Below are 23806 nucleotides of genomic sequence, written 5' to 3' on the forward strand. Positions count from 1 at the left end.
GAGCTGGTTACACAAAGAGGGGAGTCTTTCATTTATTCAATAACTTATTTTAACCATATTCTTAATAACAACAGCTAACACAGACAATGCTTCCTAGACAAACCACTGTGTACATATTTCAATTTATGAACATGAACTCTCCTATTTTCCCAACAAGATTCTGCAGTAGCTACTATTATCCCCATTTTAAAGATGAACAAACTGAGGCAGAAAAGTTAAGGAACATCCCTCAGGTTTATAAACCAAGTAAAAGGGAGAGCCAGGATTTGACCTGAGGTGGTGTGGCTCCAGAGTTTGTATACAAACAGCACACACCAAACAGGTAATTCTTAAATAATTTTTGGGTGTCAATCTGACTTCCAACCACAGAGGAAAGTGTGATTGGATCAATGTGCTTCCTGACACATTTGGGTGCATTTATTAATACATACATGTATATCTATAGAACTATATAAAATGCAAAGCTGTGTATATCTGTGTTACATGAATGTTATTATACAGTATATGTAGTCACAAGCTTTATTCACTCAATAGTACACCTTAGAAGCCTGTGTTCAATACAGATAGATCAAGCTCATTTTTACAGCTGCTACATACAAAAATAGTCTATTTGCTAATTTTTCCAATTTCAAATGCTGCAAATATTTCTACTATAAATCTATCGTATAAATGTGTGTGAATTTCTCTAAGGTTGATACAAAGAGGTGATGTTAATGATCACCTTTTCAAGACTCACCACCCATCTCAACAACTCTCAAAACAGTCCTTTCATGGTTAGGAATTGCCTCCATTTTTTTCTATCCTGCTCTCTCCACATTCTTTTATTTTTACAGCTATTCTTTCTTATTCTTCTGTTGAACTTTAATTGTAACATCAAAGAGTCTATCTTAGGTGTTGCGTCTTTCTCTATCTATTCTGATACCATATGTAGACTTCTCAACCTTGACATCACTGGCATTTTGTATGAAATAATTATTTGCTGTGGAGATTGTCTGGCTGTAGGACATTTTGCAACATCTCTGGCCTCTATCTACTAGATGCCATAGCACTCCAAGCTCCTAGAGTTCTAACAATCAAAAATCTCTGCAGACATTGCCAAACGTCATCTGCGGAGAAAAATTACCCCCAGCTCAAAAAACTACTGCCTACGAGATGTCACCCAGTCCCTGGCATTCAAATACCATGCATATTTGAATCCCCTTTTTGAATAAGATTGGAATCTACACTTTGGTCTCTAGGGCCAACCTCTTACCTGACTTCTAGATTTTTATACCCAACTACTACCTGCTCTGTCTTTTTTATTTAGGGTTTAATATTTCATTGCTCTGTAAGTTGCATAAAATAACATTATATTTACTAATCGACAAGCATAGGTATAGATATTTTTATGAATTCTTAATAAATTTTCAAATTTAGACTACTTTAAAAATTTGTTTTAAAGTTTAAAAATAGTAGAGAATCTCCATAAATGGCCACAGCCCGTTTTCCTTACTGTTAGCATCTTAGCTTTGTATGGACATTTCTTACAATCAGTGACCAATATTGGCATATTCTTCTTCACTAAAGTCTTATTGAATTATCTTAGCTTTTAAGTAACGTTCGCTTTCTGTTTCAGGAATCCATTCGGATACCACACTGCGTTTACGTGCCGTTCCTCTTTAGGTGTCTCCTGGCTGGGGCAGCTTCTCGGACCTCCCTTGTTTTAAGGGCCTTGATGGTTTTCAGAAGTTGCGGCCAGATATTCTGTGGAATGTCCCTCCTGTGGAACTTGTCTGGTGTTTTCTCACAGTGCACCAGGTTGTGGGTTGTTGGGAAGATCACAGAGGTAAAGAACACTTCTCGTCGCAGCATGCCAGGGACACGCATCATCAGTGGGACTTCCACTCTGGATGTTGACTTGATCACTTGGCTAGGGTCGTGTTTGTCAGTTTCTCCACTATAAACTTCTGTATTTTTACTTCCTTGCAGCCTATACTCTTTGGAAGGGAGGAACTATGAGCAGCAGAACTTAAGGAATACGAAAGGAGGCTAGTTATACACAGAGCACCCACTAAAGTAATTAATCAAGAGCAGAGAATCTACAAACTTTTTTAATTTTTAATTTTTAAAATTTTATTTAATTTTTGTTTTTTGCATATATACATACTTATGGGGTACATATTTTGATACAGGCATACGATGAATTTTAATTGCATCAGGGTAAATGGGGGTATGTATCATCCTGGAGGGGTAAATCTTTAAGCATTTATTCTTCATGTTACAAACAATCTAATCATACTACTTTATTTCAAAATATACAATTAAATTATTGCTTACAAGAGTCATCCTGCGGTGCTATCAAATACTAGATCTTATTCGTTCTCTTTTTTTGGACCCATTACACATCCCCACTTCCATCCAAGCCCCAACCTCAAAAACTATTTAGTGAGTAAATGAATTAAGTCACTAAACTATAAATGCCCTAATTGACCAAGTGTATAAAATTCAGAGTCCCTGAAACGGTGAATTTACCATCTTTATCTCAAGTGCCAATTTTTAAAATTTTAGAGAAGATTCTGGATCTGAAAGGGCACTTCTAATACTCCCAGATTAAAAATAAGCCTACCTTTACGTGAGTCTTGAAGTGACCTATATTCCCATCCATGATAAGGTCTCACTTGGTTGGAGAAAGGCTGCAGATGGAGGAGGAGTGACATGCCCTACTTTTAAGGAGGAAGGAGCCAGAAAACCCACCCCAACATGATGCCTGAAATCCTCTCTGGCTTTGTTTTGAAGCGCACTGCCCTGAGTTACAGCATCTTTATTGAAAGGGAGAACCAGGAAAAAGAAAAGAAAAGAAAAGAAAAAAGACCAGGAGTAGAAAGCAGAAATGGCAGCACAATCCCTGCTGAGAATCTCTGCTGAGAGCACAGCCTCCCAGGGACCAGGCCTGTGGGAACAATGCCAAGCTTCCTGGATTTCTTCAACAGTTTTACAAAGCCTGCACAAAAGCTCATCTAAGTTTTGAAGACTCAAAAAAAAAAAAAAGATATGTACAAGTAAAGCCAGACTCGGCAGCTTCTTTCACTGTTGGCATGATCCCGGAGGGCTGATCCAACCCAGTAGCATAATGTAGTTAAATCAGACCGCAAGGTTGAAAACGCTTTGGCAGAATTCAAAGCGCCCTACACGTATAAATTGAATGCACCATTGTTGTTATTCTGTATTTCCATGACCTAGCACAAAATGCAACTTCGAATCAGCAGAGAAAAGCAACTCCAACAATCAAGCAAACCTCTGTCAACGTCCTCAGAAGTGCTAAGTGCACAGCGGGGCTTGTAGGTTTCTGTGGGGCCCTAGAAAACTATGATAAAATGGTGAGCAGGATAAATTTTCTGTACTGATCAAGGCCAATTTATTTTCCAAAAATCAACAGAGAAGGCAAGCAGGGATTAAAGAAAGGCAAAGAAACACCACTGCTGGTTTTGGTAGGGCTCCCAGTGTCCCAGGTGTGATGGACACCATACAATACTGACAGTTTTCTTCTCTTTCTTCTCTTTCTTTTCTTTCTTTTCTTTTCTCTTTCTTTCTTTCCTTCCTCCTTTCTTCCTTCCTTCCTTCCTTCCTTCCTTCCTTCCTTTCTTTCTTTTTCTTTCTTTCTTTCTTTCTTGACAGAGTTTCACTCTTGTTGCCCAGGCTGGAGTGCAACAGTGTTATCTCGGCTCACTGCAACCTCTGTCTCCCTGTCATATACAGGTTCAAGGGATTATCCTGCCTCAGCCTCCCAAGTAGCCGGGACTAAATACCCAGCTAATTTCTGTATTTTTAAAAATAGAGACAGGGTTTCACCATGTTGGTCAGGGTGGTCTCGAACTCCTGACCTGAAGTGATCCACCCACCTTGGCCTCCGAAAGTGCTGGGGTTACAGGCATGAGCCACCGTGCCCACCCAGTACTGCAGGATTTCTGAGAGGGTGGGAGTCCAGACAGGGCACAGCCTGCCATTTGGCAAAAGATTAGAGAAGAACGCTGACATTTAATGCGTAATTATCATATGCACAAGGAGTATAATGATAACACTCACGTGTATGCTATTTTCATATAATATAATTGGCAAAGACCTATTTCTCCAAGTTCCATATTGGAGATCCCAAATATCTTGTAGTGAGGGGTGATTTTGCCCACTGCAAGATGGATAATCTTTACCCAGGGTCAGAGTGCAGTGGGAGATCAGCATCTCCAAATTTAGTTTGCTAGAACGTCAATGCACCAAATTTGAGGAAGCAAGCTGAGAAAATCACGAAATTCTTGCCTTTCCCTCCATATAATTTAAGTATTTAGACCAGTATTTCAACCTAGGCATCTCCTTTGGAAAAGAATTCTGATAGAAGGAATCATCCCATAATAAGTAAGGTGTATATATTTGCTATTAATGTTATAAATATTTAGCTCATCACCACATGATAAAAGAACAAGTTTTAAAAAAAAATGGGATATCTGAGGACACATCCTGGAACCCACTTCCAGATACTCTAACTGTGCAGATTTGGGGCAGGGCCTAGGTAAACCCCTCTCCATCTCTCATACCACAATGATTCCAATGCAGTAGTCCATAGACCACAATGCCAGACGTACTGAACTAGGCGCAGAGAGAAGTGGCTAATGAGGGTCTGAGAGGTATAAATGGACCCAGAACCTGAGGGCCCCCTTACTCTCAGCTAAAGAAGTGGCCTTATACTTTAGCAAAGGGTAACAATTGGTACCTCTAACCAGAGGAGTCCTTGGGAGGCTGTGTGCTGAAAGGATGATTGGAATAAGAAGGGGCTGATACGAGGACCCCTTGCCCAGGAAGCTTCTCCATGGGTGCAGTGTACAGTTAGTGAAATCTGAACTACAGGTGCAAATTTGAAGCCTGAAAATATAACACGTTATTAAAAAGTCACTAACAACAGCACCGTGTGTTTAGAACTTAGACTACCAAGATTTATTCAAAGAAAAGTATTTTATCACTGACAGTGCTTAGCATTGCGAATGCATGAGAATAATAAAAATCAGACTGACCTTTAGTTAGTTTTACTATTATTCTAAATTCTCTACAGACAGTGTGTGCGCTGACTGCCTCTACCTTGGTGTGAATAGCTCCCACCACCTGCTTTTTATCATGGTCTCGGTGGGGAACCCTACTGAAGTTCAAGGTTTTGGCCAACGCAATATATTCTTAAAACACCATCGCAATCAAAATATGAAACACTTTTGTTATCTCAAGTGGTTTTCTCTGACCTTGCAAGCTGGTCCTCAATTTCCACTCCTGCTCTTAGCAACCTCTGATCTCCTTTCTATTACTACAGATTTCATTTGTCTTGCATAGAGTGTCATATACATAGAAACATACCCCAAAAATAGCAGGTTAAAATCAAACAGCTCATCATGGCAGTAGGAGGAAAATGCTCCAGAACTGGCTTCTTGAATTTCCTCTGGATATGATGGCATTTGGGGGCTTAGATTAGAGAATAAACCAGTATGTTTAAATGCCTAAAGCTTTACAAAAATGTTCAGTAGCTTTTACTAGTAGGTTGGTTTATATATTGACTATACATGAAATTAGTTGCTATAATTATCATAAATAATAATTAAGGGAAAATAAAAATGTATTTACTTAACACATATCTGTGCATTCTTTATTACCGTGCATTCAAAAGTATATAAGGAAGTTAAGAACCTGAGATGTAATTGTTTTCCCCAACATGGCCACAGCTTTGCTTAGGAAGTTCACTGAGAGCCAAATGCTACTCCTATCTCTCTCTGTCGCAGTTCACTACACCAGCTGCTAATGGTCTCTAAGCAGCCATTCTCCACTTTTTTCTATGTAAGTACAGAACTCCTCATTACCACCATCAAGATTTCACAGAACGCACGGCCATGAGAAGAAATGATTTGGCGCCACCTCTCTTGTAGCTGAACATGGACAAATGACGACTTTGAGAGTTAAGAGGTGACGGGGAAGTGAAGATGTGGCTTCCACTTCACATTCTCTCCTCTCCTCTGGGGAGCTGGGGTAGGAATGTGTGGTTTGATCTATCTCTGTTGCCTTCATCCCATATAGGGGATGGCCGCCCGAGCCATCTACCCTAGCTAGGCACCCATCATACCCCTAAACTCTTGTATGGGAGAGAAGCAAACTTCTTCTTAGCAAGAACGACTGCATTTTGGAAGCTTTTGTCATGTCGGTTTCGTCTACACCCTACCTCATCCAATTATCAAACATGCCTGAGATGTCCCTCTTGCGGAGTTCAACCCTCTTGGTGGTGTAGTCTAATTGTGGAGGTGTATTTAGCTTATTTCCCCATCGGACTGTAAAACACATAGGTAATGAACAGGTCCTTGCACAGTGTCTCATAGGACATTAGCTGAATACATGTGAATTCCTGAGGGTGCCCAGAGGAAAATAAACATTTGGACATTTTGTGATGTGTCATTCTCTGGGGGTTGATGATGACATCTACCTTCAAGTGGACGAACAACAATGGAAACAGAAGCTCCTTCCCCATCTATCTAGCCACAGCAGCCCACTGTTTGGAGAGAATGTATTGAAATGTTCTGTGACATACAAAGGCTACGTCTGCCTGTGCCCTGAGCTCTGGGGTTTCTCTTTTAAATCAATAAAGTACAAAGAGACATCAAAAGTTTTCACTTACACTGCTTTTAACAGCATACAAAGAATGTCATATAAATGTGTGTGAAGAAGGCGCCTATTTCACAAACTTACATGAATATACTATATTCAAACAATCAGAGAGAATACTCATGAGATTATTAGTAACACATTTTCTTTGAGCTTTGTGTAGTAGATGATAGAAATATGGCCTACTTCAGAAACTGTTTGAAATATGAATTTCTCATACGCAGTCAAGTTAAAACTTCAATTTTCTTATTCAATTTTTAAAAACCATTTTGAGACAATAGGATTACTTGCCTCAAATGAATTCAGGTTAAACAATTTTTGTATTATTGTTTTTCTCTAGAAAGATTCCAATGTCTCCTTCTCTAATAAATTTTTATAGATTACAAAAATATCCTTTTTATAATTATTGTAAATTTCACAAACTTACTAAGTGATTAATCCAATACATATTTTAAACTCACTAAACATTCCAAAATCAGATCAGCATTTTGAAGAGAAAAATTTAATAAATTATATGAAATACATATGTAAAGCATTTCATATAAATAAGAGTCAAAATCAGCTCAAATTTAATAATGTCAAGAATTTTAATGAATATCATATAAAGAAGAAGAGTCAAAATCAGCTAAGATTTAATAACGTTAAGAATTTTAATGAATATAAAATATTAATGGAAAATATTAAAACAGAAACTGTTTAATGTAATTATAAATGCCACCAAAGTAACAATATACTTTGAAAAATCACCATGTATTAATTACAAATAAAAACTTGCTGTCATCCACAACAGAATGACTTGACTAGATACTGTATAAACAAACAAGACTCTTCAGCACTTCAAATGACTAACACTGAAGCAGAAGTGTTGATTTTACAGTTGATTTTCTTTTTTACTATGCCAGCTTATTTAAACATACCAAAATAGCACTTACATACAAATGATGAGTCATTAGTATTTAAGCTTTTAAACAAAAATATGTAAATTACACTTAAAATGAAACACACCCTACCTGAGTTTTCCCCTACTAGAAGGCTCTGTTATGGAAAATTGTAGTCTACACAGATTTCCTCCTGGGAAAATTGAACTCAACCCTGAATCTCTGTTTGGATATTGGTGGCTTCCTTTTTTTTTTTTTTTTTTTTTGAGACAGAGTCTCACTTTGTCACCCAAGCTGCAATACAGTGGCACCATCTTGGCTTACTCCAACCTCTGCCTCTTGGGTTCGAGCAATTCTCTTGCCTCAGCCTCCCGAGTAGCTGGGATTACAGGTGTGTACTCCCACTCCTGGCTAATTTTTGTATTTTTTAGTAGAGATGGAGTTTCACCATGTTGGCCTGGCTCGTCTCAAACTCCTGACCTTAGGTGATCCACCCGCGTCAGCCTCCCAAAGTGCTGGGATTATAGGCATGAGCCACCATGCCCAGCCATATTGGTGAATTTCTTTTTTTTTTCTTTTTTTTTTGTTTGTGCCAAACTAACATTAAAATTTATTTATGATATTAAAATACACAAATAGTTTCCGGGGCTGAGAGTCCTGAAAAATATTGGGCTACTAAGGAAAGCATTTAATTTCAATTTTATTATTATTATTATTATAGTTTAAGTTTTAGGGTACATGTGCACAATGTGCAGGTAAGTTACCTATGTATACATGTGCCATGCTGGGGTCCTGCACCCATTAACTCATCATTTAGCATTAGGTATATCTCCTCATGCTATCCCTCCCCACTCCCCCCACCCCACAACAGGCCCTGGTGTGTGATGTACCCCTTCCTGTGTCCATGCGTTCTCATTGTTCAATTCCCACCTATGAGTGAGAACATGCGGTGTTTCGTTTTTTGTCCTTGTGATAGTTTACTGAGAATGATGATTTCCAATTTCATCCATGTCCCTACAAAGGACATGAAGTCATCATTTTTTATGGCTGCATAGTATTCCATAGAGTATATGTGCCACACTTTCTTAATCCAGTTTATCACTGTTGGACATTTGGGTTGGTTCCAAGTCTTTGCTATTGTGAATACTGCTGCAATAAACATACGTGTGCATGTGTCTTTATAGCAGCATGATTTATAGTCCTTTGGGTATGTACCCAGTAATGGGATGCCTGGGTCAAATGGTATTTGTAGTTCTAGATCCCTGAGGAATCGCCACACTGACTTCCACAAGGGTTGAACTAGTTTACAGTCCCACCAACAGTGTAGTGTTCCTATTTCTCCACATCCTCTCCAGCACCTGTTGTTTCCTGACTTTTTAATGATTGCCATTCTAACTGGTGTGAGATGGTATCTCATTGTGGTTTTGATTTGCATTTCTCTGATGGCCAGTGATGGTGAGCATTTTTTCATGTGCTTTTTGGCTGCATAAATGTCTTCTTTTGAGAAGTGTCTGTTCATGTCCTTCGCCTACTTTTTGATGGGGTTATTTGTTTTTTTCTTGTAAATTTGTTTGAGTTCATTGTAGATTCTGGATGTTAGCCCTTTGTCAGATGAGTAGGTTGTGAAAATTTTCACCCATTTTGTAGGTTGCCTGTTCATTCTGACGGTAGTTTGTTTTGCTGTGCAGAAGCTCTTTAGTTTAATTAGATCCCATTTGTCAATTTTGGCTTTTGTTGCCATTGCTTTTGGTGTTATAGACATGAAGTCCTTGCCCATGCCTATGTCCTGAATGGTAATGCCTAGGTTTTCTTCTAGGGTTTTTATAGTTTTAGGTGTAACGTTTAAGTCTTTAATCTATCTTGAATTGATTTCTGTACAAGGTGTAAGGAAGGGATCCAGTTTCAGCTTTCTACATATGGCTAGCCAGTTTTCCCAGCACCATTTAATAAATAGGGACTCCTTTCCCCATTGCTTGTTTTTGTCAGGTTTGTCAAAGATCAGATAGTTGTAGATATGCAGCATTATTTCTGCAGGCTGTGTTCTGTTCCATTGATCTATATCTCTGTTTTGGTACCAGTACCATGCTGTTTTGGTTCCTGTAGCCTTGTAGCATAGTTTGAAGTCAGGTAGGGTGATGCCTCCAGCTTTGTTCTTTTGCCTTAGGATTGACTTGGCAATGTGGGCTCTTTTTTGGTTCCATATGAATTTTAAAGTAGTTTTTTCCAATTCTGTGAAGGAACTCATTGGTAGCTTGATGGGGATGGCATTGAATCTATAAATTACCTTGGGCAGCATGGCCATTTTCACGATATTGACTCTTCCTACCCATGAGCATGGAATGTTCTTCCATTTCTTTGTATCCTCTTTTATTTCATTGAGCAGTGGTTTGTAGTTCTCCTTGAAGAGGTCCTTCACATCCCTTGTAAGTTGGATTCCTAGGTATTTTATTCTCTTTGAAGCAACTGTGAATGGGAGTTCACTCACGATTTGGCTCTCTGTTTGCCTGTTATTGGTATATAAGAATGCTTGTGATTTTTGTCCATTGATTTTGTATCCTCAGACTTTGCTGAAGATGCTTATCAGCTTAAGGAGATTTTCGGCTGGGACAATGGGGTTTTCCAGATACACAATCACGTCATCTGCAAACAGGGACAATTTGCCTTCCTCTTTTCCTAACTGAATACCCTTTATTTCCTTCTCCTGCCTAATTGCCCTGGCCAGAACTTCCAACATATAGGCTCAAAATAAAAGGATGGAGGAAGATCTACCAAGCAAATGGAAAACAAAAAAAGGCAGGGGTTGCAATCCTAGTCTCTGATAAAACAGACTTTAAACCAACAAAGATCAAAAGAGACAAAGAAGGCCATTACATAATAGTAAAGGGATCAATTCAACAAGAAGAGCTAACTATCCTAAATATATATGCACCCAATACAGGAGCACCCAGATTCATAAAGCAAGTCCTGAGTGACCTACAAAGAGACTTAGACTCCCACACAATAATAATGGGAGACTTTAACACACCACTGTCAACATTAGACAGATCAACGAGAGAGAAAGTTAACAAGGATACCCAGGAATTGAACTCAGCTCTGCACCAAGCGGGCCTAACAGACATCTACAGAACTCTCCACCCCAAATCAACACAACACAAATTCTTTTCAGAACCACACCACACCTATTCCAAAATTGACCATACAGTTGGAAGTAAAGCTCTCCTCAGCAAATGTAAAAGAACAGAAATTATAACAAACTGTCTCTCAGACCACAGTGCAATCAAACTAGAACTCAGGATTAAGAAACTCACTCAGAACCGCTTAACTACACAGAAACTGAACAACCTGCTGCTGAATGACTACTGGGTACATAACGAAATGAAGGCAGAAATAAAGATGTTCTTTGAAACCAAAGAGAAGAAAGACACAACATACCAGAATCTCTGGGACACATTCAAAACACTGTGTAGAGTGAAATTTATAGCACTAAATGTCCACAAGAGAAAGTAGGAAAGATCCAAAATGGACACCCTAACATCACAATTAAAAGAACTAGAAAAGCAAGAGCAAACACATTCAAAAGCTAGCAGAAGGCAAGAAATAACTAAAATCAGAGCAGAACTGAAGGAAATAGAGATGCAAATAACCCTTCAAAAAATTAATGAATCCAGGAGCTGGTTTTTTGAAAGGATCAACAAAATTGATAGACTGCTAGCAAGACTAATAAAGAAAAAAAGAGAGAAGAATCAAATAGATGCAATAAAAAATGATAAAGGGGATATCACCACCGATCCCACAGAAATACAAACTGCCATCAGAGAATACTACAAACACCTCTACGCAAATAAACTAGAAAATCTAGAAGAAATGGATAATTTCCTCGACACCTACACTCTCCCAAGACTAAACCAGGAAGAAGTTGAATCTCTGAATAGACCAATAACAGGAGCTGCAATTGTGGCAATAATCAATAGCTTACCAACCAAAAAGAGTCCAGGACCAGATGGATTCACAGCCGAATATTACCAGAGGTACAAGGAGGAACTGGTACCATTCCTTCTGAAACTATTCCAATCAATAGAAAAAGAGGGAATCCTCCCTAACTCATTTCATGAGGCCAGCATCATCCTGATACCAAAGCCGGGCAGAGACACAGCCAAAAAAGAGAATTTTAGACCAATATCCTTGATGAAGTTTGATGCAAAAATCCTCAATAAAATACTGGCAAACCGAATCCAGCAGCACACCAAAAAGCCTATCCACCATGATCAAGTGGGCTTCATCCCTGGGATGCAAGGCTGGTTCAACATATACAAATCAATAAATGTAATCCAGCATATAAACAGAACCAAAGACAAAAACCACATGATTATTTCAATAGATGCAGAAAAGGCCTTTGACAAAATTCAACAACCCTTCATGCTAAAAACTCTCAATAAATTAGGTATTGATGGGACGTATCTCAGAATAATAAGAGTTATCTATGACAAACCCACAGCCGATATCATACTGAATGGGCCAAAACTGGAAGCATTCCCTTTGCAAACTGGCACAAGACAGGGATGCCCTCTCTCACCACTCCTATTCAACATAGTGTTGGAAGTTCTGGCCATATTGGTGAATTTCTAATGATGCTTGTTATTATTTGAGAAGGAAGGAGCTGAGGTTTTAGAATAGAAAAACAAAGGGGATGTCGGAGAAGGAGTGTGGCCTCTGCAATGGTTAACAGTGCGAATGAGTTCCAGGGGAAGGTCATTCTGGGTTTCGGAACTGTCCCAGCCACCTTAGCGATGGGGCTACTGGAGGAGGATCTGCAAAGGAGAAGCGGCACCTGGCATGAACATAGATAAGGCCTGAGAAATGCCTGCTCCTCCACATGGGAATTTTAATAAGATGTGCTCAAAGCATCACAGCTATTCATGTTATTCTACCTATGTGGGACCACACAGGACCCTGAGATTAAAAAAAGGTAGGAATGGGGCAAGGACTAAAATCAGAAATGCATTAATCATGTAAGGTTAGATGACCAGACAGGAAGAAAACAAAGGCAAAAAATAAAACTCCCACTAAGCCTGTTTCCCATTTGCAGTAGAAGAAACCAACATAGAAGCTTCTCATTGAAAGTGTGGAGGAAAGAGATAAGACAAGCTGCTTGTGAGCAAGCAAAGCAAAAAAGAGAATTAATTTCACAATACCCATTGTGATTAATTTATGATGTACAAAATGCCATCTACATTTAATTTGTTTGTTGTATTATTTTTGTTGATATCTTATGGAGAATATAAAGATGGGCTCCAGCAGGCTCATCTCATCCCCATCCTTGCCCCTTACGATGGAAAATCCCTCAGCTGCAGTTCTAACATGAGCCCTTTTAGGAACCCAGCCCTGCTGATTAGAGAGGAAAGAGGAGCTGTTCTAAGTTAGACACAGGCATGGAATATTGACTTCACAGAGAGGTACATCTTATCATACAAGAATTTCTTTAACAAGGAACCACTAAAAATTCAGAGACAAAGAAAAGTAGAAGTAAAAATTAAAAAATGAAATGAAGTAAGTGCACAACAGATTAAATCAGCTTCCTAGCACTCTTCCAACCTGTGAAACTTTTATAGCTCCCTGAAAATGGATAAGAAACCAAAGAGGTGGCAAAAGGAGTTTAAATAAAAACTGTAAAGTAAGTAGGGAATGTGGGAGAAGCTGCAGTGAAGAAAGCCTACAGAATAATAACCCTCATGCTCTTGACTATGGTAAGGAAGTTGTCTGGTTCCAGACACTAGGACCTGTTTACCAGACAGATTCTGCAAGGGAGGATGGACTGTGTGGAAAGACTGTTTCGTGATGGTGTGAAATATCTTTTATGATTTTTCAAGTATCTTACATTTATTCCTTACCAAATTAATTATTCTAATGAGTGAGTCACCTCTCTGCATGTTCAGTACCTAAAAAGGAGTTCTCCATTTGCAGTTGATTATTTATTTTAAATGATGCTTCACTTTAGAAGAAATATACACTGTATAGATGTAGGTCAGTCTTTCCATGACTTGACAACTTCTGAGCATACTGGTAAAGTGAATAAATAAATCAATTATGCATTACTGACTAACGAAAGATTCTTCATCAGCATTATCTTAGTCAGGGGATGCCAAACCCCCTGCTGCCCTGTCTGAGAGGTCAAGGTGTAGTGGGGAGGAGAGCACGCAGGTGGTGAAAATGCAGAGTGCCAGCTGCCGTGGTGGAGCCAGGTGCCAGGAGAATGGCAAAGCATCACAGAGAATGCATGGAGGGTCAGCAGAGGGTCAGTGGAGGCTCATGATATGCACTGATACCAGAAACACGCAAGACTTGCCAAGTGACGGGAGTGAGGAAAGGCATTCCAAGCTACGGGCCAGGTTCACACAAGTCTAATTTCCTCAGAGTCATCATGTCATAAATGCTGCAATAAAACCAAAGTTGGCAGAATAGAGCATGTCAACTGGGGACTTCTAAATAATATGGTCCAGGGTGGAGAGTGGCAGAAGAATTTTCATTTGACAATGGCTTTTTCTCAAGCAATAAGAGGGCAATGAGACCAATCGGTTGTACATACGTATTCTAGAAATTTTCTAAGAATCTCAGATATCTGACACAATGTCAGAATCAAATGCACTACAAATAAATAAACAATAACCATTCTAAGTGGGGAAATGTATTTTAAATCACCTGTGGCATTGACATGAACAACATTTCGTGAAACATATCCTATAAAAGTTTTCAGTGATACGTCCCAGATCTGATCTTAAAGCTGGAAAAACAGCACTTATTAGATTTCAATTCAGTAGTCACGTGCAGAAACACAGATTCCTTGTGCAAGACCCATGATGGCAAAGCCACACTGTCATTATTCCTGATCAGCATTATCAAATTCAAAAAAAAAAAAAGGCAGGTTCTGCATGCTCAGTAAAATCTGATTGTTCAAACCCAGTATCTGTCAGCATCACGGATGTCTGACTTTAGGTCTTTGTGTGTCAAAACCCTACCAGCCAAGAGAAATGAAAGCCTGTACGTAATACTGAAGAGTAAACTGCAGCAATATTACTGATCATTGCAAAAAAAAAAAATTCTTCTATATAAAAAGCTGTTAACAACATCATCCAGATAAAGGAATAAGGAAATAGGTAATCCAGACACTTATTAAGAGATACTGTTAGTTACATAATTTAGGAAGAAACGTTGGCTAATAGGGATAAATATATGAGAGAGAAGAAAAACGTTCTAATGTTTGATAGCACTGTAAGTTGACTATAGCTAATAATTTATTGTGTATTTCAAAATGCCTAGAAGATTTGGAAATGATAAATGTTGACAGTAATGGATATCATAATTATCCTGATTTGATCATGAGACTTTGTGTGCATATTTCAAAATATCACATGTATCCCATAAATATGTACAGTTATTACATAGAACAAAAAAACCAAAAAAGAAAAATTAGTTACAATGTAAAAAATAATTTAAAGATAAAATAAAAATTATGTTTAAAGAAAATGTGTATGAAAAATTTAAATATCAGACAAGTAAACTATATAGATTATAGTATATATTTAAATTATGATTATTAAATGAATACAATGTCCTTAGAACAATGCCTGGCATATACCATGTCTTATATGCGTCTATTAAATAAAACAAAACAGAACTATTCTGTGTGCCACAGTTTTAATACCAAGAAAAATACTCCTTAAGAACCAGCCATTAATTTAAGCAATATTCCTTGGCACTGACAAGGTGCCACGTACGTTTCCAGTTCAGCGGCTTCCAGCAGTGGACACATCAGGTGCTGCCTCCCTGAGGGGCATTCTACCAGGAAGGATAAGCATGGACCAGGCATGCTACCTAAGTAAGGAGTCCACTGCCTTAGAAATGGGAAGTGCCTTTTATTTTGAATCTAAATTTCATATCTACTTCTTCATTCAGTTCCACTTAAACCTGCATCTATCTGAGAGCACTTTGAATGTGGTAAGAAGGAACCAGGAGTAGACTATGACTTTGTCACATCAGCATTTTACACGTAGCTGAAATATCAAATCGTGCACAATGATGTAGGTGATAAATCATCTTTCATCCAGATTTCATTAAATCATAAAATATTAAACAAAAAGAGAGTGTGTGTTGGGAAAATGGGGAAATGAGTGTACCTAAAGAAGCCTCAGATGCTCAACTGACACCAGCTGAGAGTGAGGGCTCCTGAGAAGTGCGCAGTGTGAAGCCCATGTGAAATGCGAATCTACTCTCCTGCAGCAAAGGGTCCTAGAAAATTGTTTCTGCCTCTGATGTAAAGTTCAAAAGTTTGACTATGAAAAGTGCAAACTAAAGACATTAGGAGCTTTCACCATGGCTCAGATTTGTTTCTGCATCCCAGTGGTCATTCGCTGATGGAAATACTTGACGTCAGTCTTCCCTTTTTTATCGTACCATATTTTATATCCTGCAATGTTCCTGGGCTCCATATGGTGTTTCATAGTCACCTGCTCTCTTTCACAAATTGTATCTCTGTTTAGGGTTTTCTGCAGTTGTTTTCTCCCTCAATGTTGAGAAGGTAGAGAATAAGTAAGCTTCTGCGGGCTTTGCCCAAGTTTTAAATTTTCATATATCAAAACTGTAGCTGTCTAGAGCTGCATGTGCCTGCAAATGTGAGGCAGGGATAACATCCAAGTGAAGCCACCCATGAGGGGTGCATCGATGTCAACACACAGCTCCTACTTCCACCCTGTCATACAACTGCCGTTTCCGAACGTGGCAAGGCTCCCAACACCTGTGCCTTCACATACATGGTTTCTATGGCAGGTACACTCTGTATTCTCCCCTCCAACACTGCTGCTGCCCTGGCGTGTTGGTCACCCCCAGTATCCGTACTCAACCTTCACAACCGAGATCTCTCAGTACTGCTGTGGAAACAATCCAGTCCATTTAGAAACAGCCTTCCTGTACTCCCGGTGATCTTGTTATTTATATCTATATCATGTCAATAATGTGATGTAAGTGTACTGTGTTTGTAATGTGTGTATCTACATGGGTTTCCTCACAAAGTGGTCAATTCCATTGAGAATAGGACCTAGGCTTAAAAAAAAAAACCTTACCTCTAGATTTAACGCTGTGCATTCACTAACTTTTGTGTCAGTTTTCATCAAATCCACTTAAGTTGTTCATTTTTAAAAAAAATCTGAAATGATTAAAATGTGCTAAAAATTACTGATTATAATTTTACCGAATATAAAAATTGTGAAGATTTAAAAATGTCATTTTCTAGTTTATGTTTTTAGAGTTTTTTAAAAATTACATTTTACTGACACTATTTACACAAAACACTTCTGATACAAACCATTCATAACTTCTTATGAAAGAAAATAGTCCTAAACACATAAACAATTACAGTGCAGTTAACATTTCAAGAACCACTGACTCTGTTGGGCAGTGCTTCCCCATCCCCCTCAGTAGCACACTGAACTTTTACATTTAACCAGAATAAGGCTGGTGTTCACCAAAGTCATGGATAGTTAGTAAAAGTTTATGGTCCTACAGTCTTAAAAATTTTTCATTTTGTAAAACTTCTAGAGAATAATTGAATCAATATAATAGGAAATTTGGCTTTTCTTTTACTGAATGTACATTAGCTAATACAAAGGTCATGACACTGATTCAAAGTGAAGTTACGGTATCAAGAAACTGTATGTTTCTTGATAGTAGCTAATCTTTTTTCACTGCTAAAAGATGTATTCTTGCTCAAATGCTATGTAAAGGAGACTCATGAATGAAGCTCATGCACCAAGGCCAGGCAATGCCTTTTAGCCATGACACTACCAACTTCTGGAAGATCAAAAGTAGGAACACCACATGTATCTGTGCTAGGTTATGTAAACATAGGCTCTATCACCAAACACATAAATGCTAAATATTTGGGGAACTACAGCAAATAAGAATTCCAGAAAATAACTGTACTGCTTGAGGAGTTTTCTTTTTTTGGAATATATTTTAAAACACACACACCCAAAGTTTTCCTTCACTGTCTTCCATAAGAAAGACTGCTCAAAGAAGAACAAAGTGGCCCAGGGAAAAATGAGAGTTAGAGAAAACTGACAAATCATTGATGTTCGTCCAATTTGGGTGAAAAATAAAATAGGGGAAGGAGACCCTTCTCCACGAATATCCTTGGAGGAAGTCAGAAGGAGCCCTAAGAAAGGAATGGGAAAGCCTGGAATAGGTGGCTCATTTACAAAACAATGAAAACAGTTCTGAGCTTCCCCTCCTGAGCCTTTGTTCAAGCTCTTTTCTCTGTTTGGAAGACTCACCCATTATTTCTAAAGATTCACATTCACCTCTCCTTAGGGACTGTTTCAACTGCCAGTCATGGGCAACGCCTCCTTCCTTCTTTGTCTCCTGTTCCCACTGCACCTCTGAGGTATCCCTTCTTTCTCTGTACGACCTTAACCGTTTATGTCTGGCTCTTAAAGGTGTTCTGCTGCCTAGCCCGTTCTGTCATTGTATGTGTGTATTTCTAAGTCCCACTCAGCGCAGGGATGTTTGGCATGTCCTCTTAATTTTACAGAACACCACAGAGTGCCTTGCACATGCTAGCTACCCGATAATATTTTCCAAATAAATGATGTAAGCATTAATTAATCTATTGACTTGATAGAAAACAATTTGTATTATTTCTAAATGTATCTACCTGAAATTTTACCATTAAAGACTTGTTACATGATGTGGTAATTGTAGTTCACGTGATTATACCCAGAAGGGAAATGTACCACATTACTAACCACTAACAGCTCTTTGTGGATGTTTTTGCTCATCAAACCAAGAACATTTCTATTCTATCCAACCTGAAATTAGATGATAGTATATTTTGTTTGGGACGAGAGTGAAGACTGAGATGCAATCCAAACCACAAGCAAATACGGAAAGGGGCGAGAAACGAATGCAAGCTCTGCCTGTGCTCCAAAAGCGAAAGCGACAACACCCACTCACAAACACACACAGTAGCCTTGATCACTGCTGATTTAACACAGCCTCACAGAACAAACGTAACTATAACATTATGCTTTAAGTAAAGTGACAAATGCTATTTGTATTGTGTAAATACCCTCAGGGTGGAACCTAATGAGTATATTCTAAAGCAACTCCACAACTGAGAAACAAGACAACATGAGCTCTTAGTTTTGTGTATGATGAAAATCAAGTGTTGCCACATGGCGAAGACTGAAATTCAGACACAGAGAAGGGTACAAGGCTCTTTTTCCTCAAATGTGTTTCCACAGAGTCACTTCATGCAAAACCAAAGGGAAAGCAAGGATGAAAGATACTGGGTGAAAGGCTATCCTCCGTCTTTGCATCTATTTTATCATCTTTTTTCTACATGAAGTCAGATGTTCAAGACAGATAATTATGAAAACTAAGAATCATAGCCGAGATAGAATTTTTTCAAATCTCCGCCATACTAAATTTTCGTTAAGTAACGTTTTCAAGTAAGGTATAATTCAGGGAATTTTAAAGTGATTCGGGAGTTAAACTGGATTTTGGTAGAAAAACAGTATTTCCTAGACTAATGAATATTTCCCAGAGAATTTATTATTGTTATACAGTGGTATATCAGTTCTTTTCACATGAAATAAATTACTTTTTTTTTTAATTTCAAAATTTTTAAATGCATTTAACTTAATTTTGTTGTATAGCTTTACATGTACCTAAAGCCAGAATAAGTTTCAACAACAGCATTTTTGTTTATTAATTATCAATTCTTTTATTCATCCAAAATGACCCTACATAAACTGATTTCATTCAAAAAGAATAAAATGCAGTCTCACCACCTAACTTGTCCTGTGGAATATTAAACTTTCCATGTTAGATAGTGTAATTTGATAAAGGAACGTGTTATTCTTTGGACAACTAATTGTATGAACGTTTTCCTGTAAACAGAATTACTAAAATGGGGCCAGATACAGTGGCTCATGTCTGTGATCCCAACACTTTGGGAGGCCGAGGTGGGCGGATCATGAGGTCAAGAGATGGAGACCATCCTGGCCAACATGATGAAACCCCAACTCTACTAAAAATGCAAAAATTAACTGGGCATGGTGGTGCGCTCCTGTAATCCCAGCTACTTGGGAGGCTGAGAAAGGAGAATCACCTGAACCCTGAGTGGGGGCGAAGGTTGCAGTGAGCCGAGATCATGCCACTGCACTCCAGCCTGGCGACAGAGGGAGACAACGTCTCAAAAAAGAAAAAAAGAAAAAAAGGGACACAACAGTGAGTGTCTTCTTGCAGAGCCACACAGAAGGGTCTATAGAGAGTCATTTAGGGTTTTCTTAGGAAAGGGGTGGCAGAAGGGCAGAAAAATCTTCCGTGCAGTGTTAAAAGCAGAAGAAAATGAGGAGAACCCCTCAAAGGTTGCCCTCCTCGGAGAGTTGAGAAGTCTACTTTGTAGCTGGAGGACAGTGTATTGCGGGAGAGCTGTGAGGCCAGCATGAGAGTGGGGCTCAAAGCAGAGAGGGGATCTTATTTGTCAGCCATGGGAGTGTGACTTTTATTTCACACTGGGGAGAGACATGAAAAGCACGGTTACAGAAAATTAAATGTATATTTTTAGAAAGAAGTCTTTCATGACACCATAACACATAGCATCATTACAGAAACAAAACAGGTTTAGTTTTTACGACACAAAATGCAGAAACATAAAATGTATCCTCTGGAGGCCACTGGACCTTCTCAAATGAGGTGTTTGTAATGATTGCAGAAAACATATCTAGTTCATATAATGTTACCATATCAGTGGAACTGTGAGTTTAAGATAAAAAAAATGGAAAAGATAAAACTATTATTCTCATTTCAAGATATCTAGTGGGGAAAAAAGAAATAACTATGCCTGCGCTGTGTATTTCTGTACCATAAAATAATGATTTTCTGAACAGATTAGAATATTACATAATAAAACTACTGACATGAATTCATGGTATCAGTGACATTCATGTACTGTATCAAAATGCAGCTCCACCATCTAGTTAGGCACTGCATTATGTATGTAAAAATATGGTTATAATAACCAAATAATAATTATAATTTTGTGGAGAAATTCTTAGCAAAATTTACAATTTAAGTTTTCTCCTTTGTTCAAACGTTGAATGGCTTGGAAAGATAACCCAGTAGTTGATTTTTACTTTGCTTATGTTTTATTCTTTCCTTCTATAGACTATTTACTCCTTCTTAAAACAATTTTATTAGACTTTGTCATGGACTCCATTTTGATTTCCTGAAGGGAAATACTACAATATTGTTCATAGGAGACTGGTTGCAAATATATACTATGATGGGTAGGCATAAAACCACATACTCTGATTGAGGCGTGAATGTAAAATTGTCATACAGATGAGAAAATCAAAAATTTTGGTAAAGATTACTGTGAATTCTTTGTCTAGTAGGAGGTCATTATTTTTTGACCATTTTTAAAAACTGAAAGTCAACAAAATTCCAACTCTTATCTACAGGTAGTTGAACCACTGGTGATTTTTACTTTATGCTTTCGTCTGTTTTCTGAGTTTTCCGAGTTTTCCATGAGCATCTATGATATTCACCGTAAAGGAAATACAGTTTTGTCTTTCGCAGGATATTATCTCTAGGTAAGTAAATGTGCAGACAGCCTGACATTTGCTAATGATCGATGATTTGTTCTTACCACCCTCCCTCTCCGCCTCCCATTCACAGGCATCCATGCAGATGTATCTTGGGCCAGTGGCCACAGCGTAATACCATCTGGCCTGTATTCCCCTCAAGCCTCTGCAGCTTCCTGGGCCATGGCTCCTGTTTCTCCGACTGGATTGCATTCTCATGTTATACTTCCCTTTCTTTCTCCCACTAAACTCTAGGCACCTTGAGTTTAGGAATGCTGTCTACTTCACCTTTATCTTCCAAACTCCTGTTTTGGTGTTAAACACGTAATTACTCGACAACTCACTACTGAAAGAATATCGAAATGAAGACTTCTACAAAAGTCTTCTATCCGGTACTGCAACAGTAAGGTGTTTTGTTTTGTTTTGTTTTGTTTTTGTTTTTTACCACTTTGTATAAAATTGCAGTATTATTTTTTCTGTTTGTCTTCTCTACTTTTGTTTTTCTGTTCTTTCCTGCCTTCCTTTAGAATGTTCAATGTTCTTAAGAATTTTTTTTAATTAACTTATTGGTGTTTTAACTATACTTTTCGCAGTGTTTTAGTGTTTGCTCTTGGAATTAAAGAAACACCCAAGATTTTTCAGTCTTCTTGTAAATATTACACCAATTTTATTTTTTTTAAAATGTATAAAGAATGCAATTTTAGAGGTGCATTTACCAAACCTCTTTTTTTCTGTGTTTCTTGTCTTTTCTTTTTGGTATGCTTATCATATATATTACAAACATGCAATTCAAACTCTAAAACATAATGTTGTTATTTTTACTTAAAAAGTCTCATGCACTTTAAAGAAACTCAGAGAAAATGTCTTCTTATATTAACCAAAATATTTACCACCTATAATGTTTTGAGACAGAGTCTCGCTGTGTCGCCCAGGCTGGAGTGCAGTGGTGGGATCTCGGCTCACTGCAAGCTCCGCCTCCCGGGTTCACACCATTCTCCCACCTCAGCCTCCCGAGTAGCTGGGACTACAGGCGCCCGCCACCACGGCCGGCTATTTTTTTGTATTTTTAGTAGAGACGGGGTTTCACCGTGTTAGCCAGGATGGTCTCGTTCTCCTGACCTCGTGATCCACCCACCTCGGCCTCCCAAAGTGCTGGGATTACAGGCGTGAGCCACCGTGCCCGGCCACCACCTATAACACTCTCTATTCGTCACTGAAGATCCAAGTTTTCACCACAGGTTGTTTCCATGAAGCCCGAGCAACCATCTCAGCATTTCCTCCACCACGAGCCTGTCACTGACACCCTCTCATAAGCTGTCATAGCTTCCTCTGATTTTCTGACTCACCCTCATTCTTGAAGGTTGTTTTCACGTGATATAAATGTCTAGGTTGACAGTTCCTTTTTGCTTTGTTTACTTTCTTTTTGCTTTTAGCACTTTAATGATGTTGTTTTCTATGGATGGCCTCCATGGTGTTTGATGTAAAATCAGCAATAATTTAAATTGTTGTTTCCTGTATGTAATGCGTCCATTTTCTGTGGCTGCTTTCAAGCTTTTTCTCTGTCTCTTTTGAAGCAGTTTGGCTGTGGTGTACATGGTTATGGTTTCTTTGCAGTTATCTTTCAGTTTACAGAGACTCTTGAGTCTTTTTTTTTCTTTTTTTTCCAAATTTGGAGAATGTCATCCATTAGTACATTAAAGATAGTTTCTCCCTTATTCTCCCTCTCTTTCTCCTTCCGGAGTTTCAGCTAAACGTCTGTTAGGCCTGATATTGTCCCAAAGAAGCCTGACGCCCTGCTTGTTATATTTTTTCAGTCTTATTTTCTCTATATTCTACTGATTAGATAATTTCCATTGGACTAACATCATCAAGCTCCCTAACTCTTATGTCATTTTGTATCTGTTAAGCCTTTCCAAGTAAACCTACTTTAAAAAAAATTGTAGTTTAGATATTTAATTATTCATTTGATTTTCATTTTATAACGCCTATTTTTTTCCTGATATTTCTAACTTTTTTTCACCAAGAGCATTGCTTCCTTTACTTATTTAAGCATAATTGTAATAACAGCTGCATTAAAATCCTTCTCCGCTAATTCCAACATCTGTGTCCTATCAAGCTTGGTCTCAGTTTTGGGGGCCTTTTAGTTTTTAATTCTTTATTTTAAACTAGCTGAAATATGTGGAGTGATTAGTTGTTGTTTCTGGAATTGTGAATTTGGTTTATTTTTGGAGATTTTAGACTCTGTTATGCTCCTCCAAAAAGTTGATGAATATATTTATTTCGTCTTTGGGGTTTTATTTTTTATTCCTTGGCAGGAAATTAAGTTAGTTGCATTCAAATGAAAACTTCCTGTTGTGGGGGGGTGGTGTGCACATCCACTCTCATGGAACTCCTCTGTCCTCAGCTACCCCATTTGGAATCTGCTCCACTTAGGCATAGCTCAAGAGTCAAAGTCTGGGCAGAACCTGCAGCCACAGTGTGGGGCTCTCCAGTCTAGAGCTCTCCTTTCTGGGATTCCTCCCTCATTTTCTGGTGGATGTGGTTTTGCTGGTTCAGAAAGAAAGTGGATGTTAGGATAGAGTTTTGGTTTTGCCACCAGCACTGACATGCTTGACCTGAAAATCAAAAAAT

General features: G+C 38.4%; 1 protein-coding gene across 3 annotated transcripts in view, besides 1 other annotated feature; it reads right to left on the bottom strand.

The window, feature by feature from the left end:
- Nucleotides 1-23806, bottom strand: part of CSMD1 (CUB and Sushi multiple domains 1) — a 2059554-nt gene that overhangs the window by 1112935 nt on the left and 922813 nt on the right. The window lies entirely within an intron of this gene.
- Nucleotides 17545-18194: an enhancer, noted in NCBI's record as "OCT4-NANOG hESC enhancer chr8:3923362-3924011 (GRCh37/hg19 assembly coordinates)". NCBI's record gives its function as "activates a minimal SCP1, AML or CMV promoter by ChIP-STARR-seq in naive H9 embryonic stem cells {active_cell/tissue: H9 hESC(naive)}" and the evidence as "EXISTENCE:reporter gene assay evidence [ECO:0000049][PMID:30033119]".

This window comes from Homo sapiens, chromosome 8 (genome assembly GCF_000001405.40).
Source record: "Homo sapiens chromosome 8, GRCh38.p14 Primary Assembly".
NCBI classification, from domain to species: domain Eukaryota; kingdom Metazoa; phylum Chordata; class Mammalia; order Primates; family Hominidae; genus Homo; species Homo sapiens.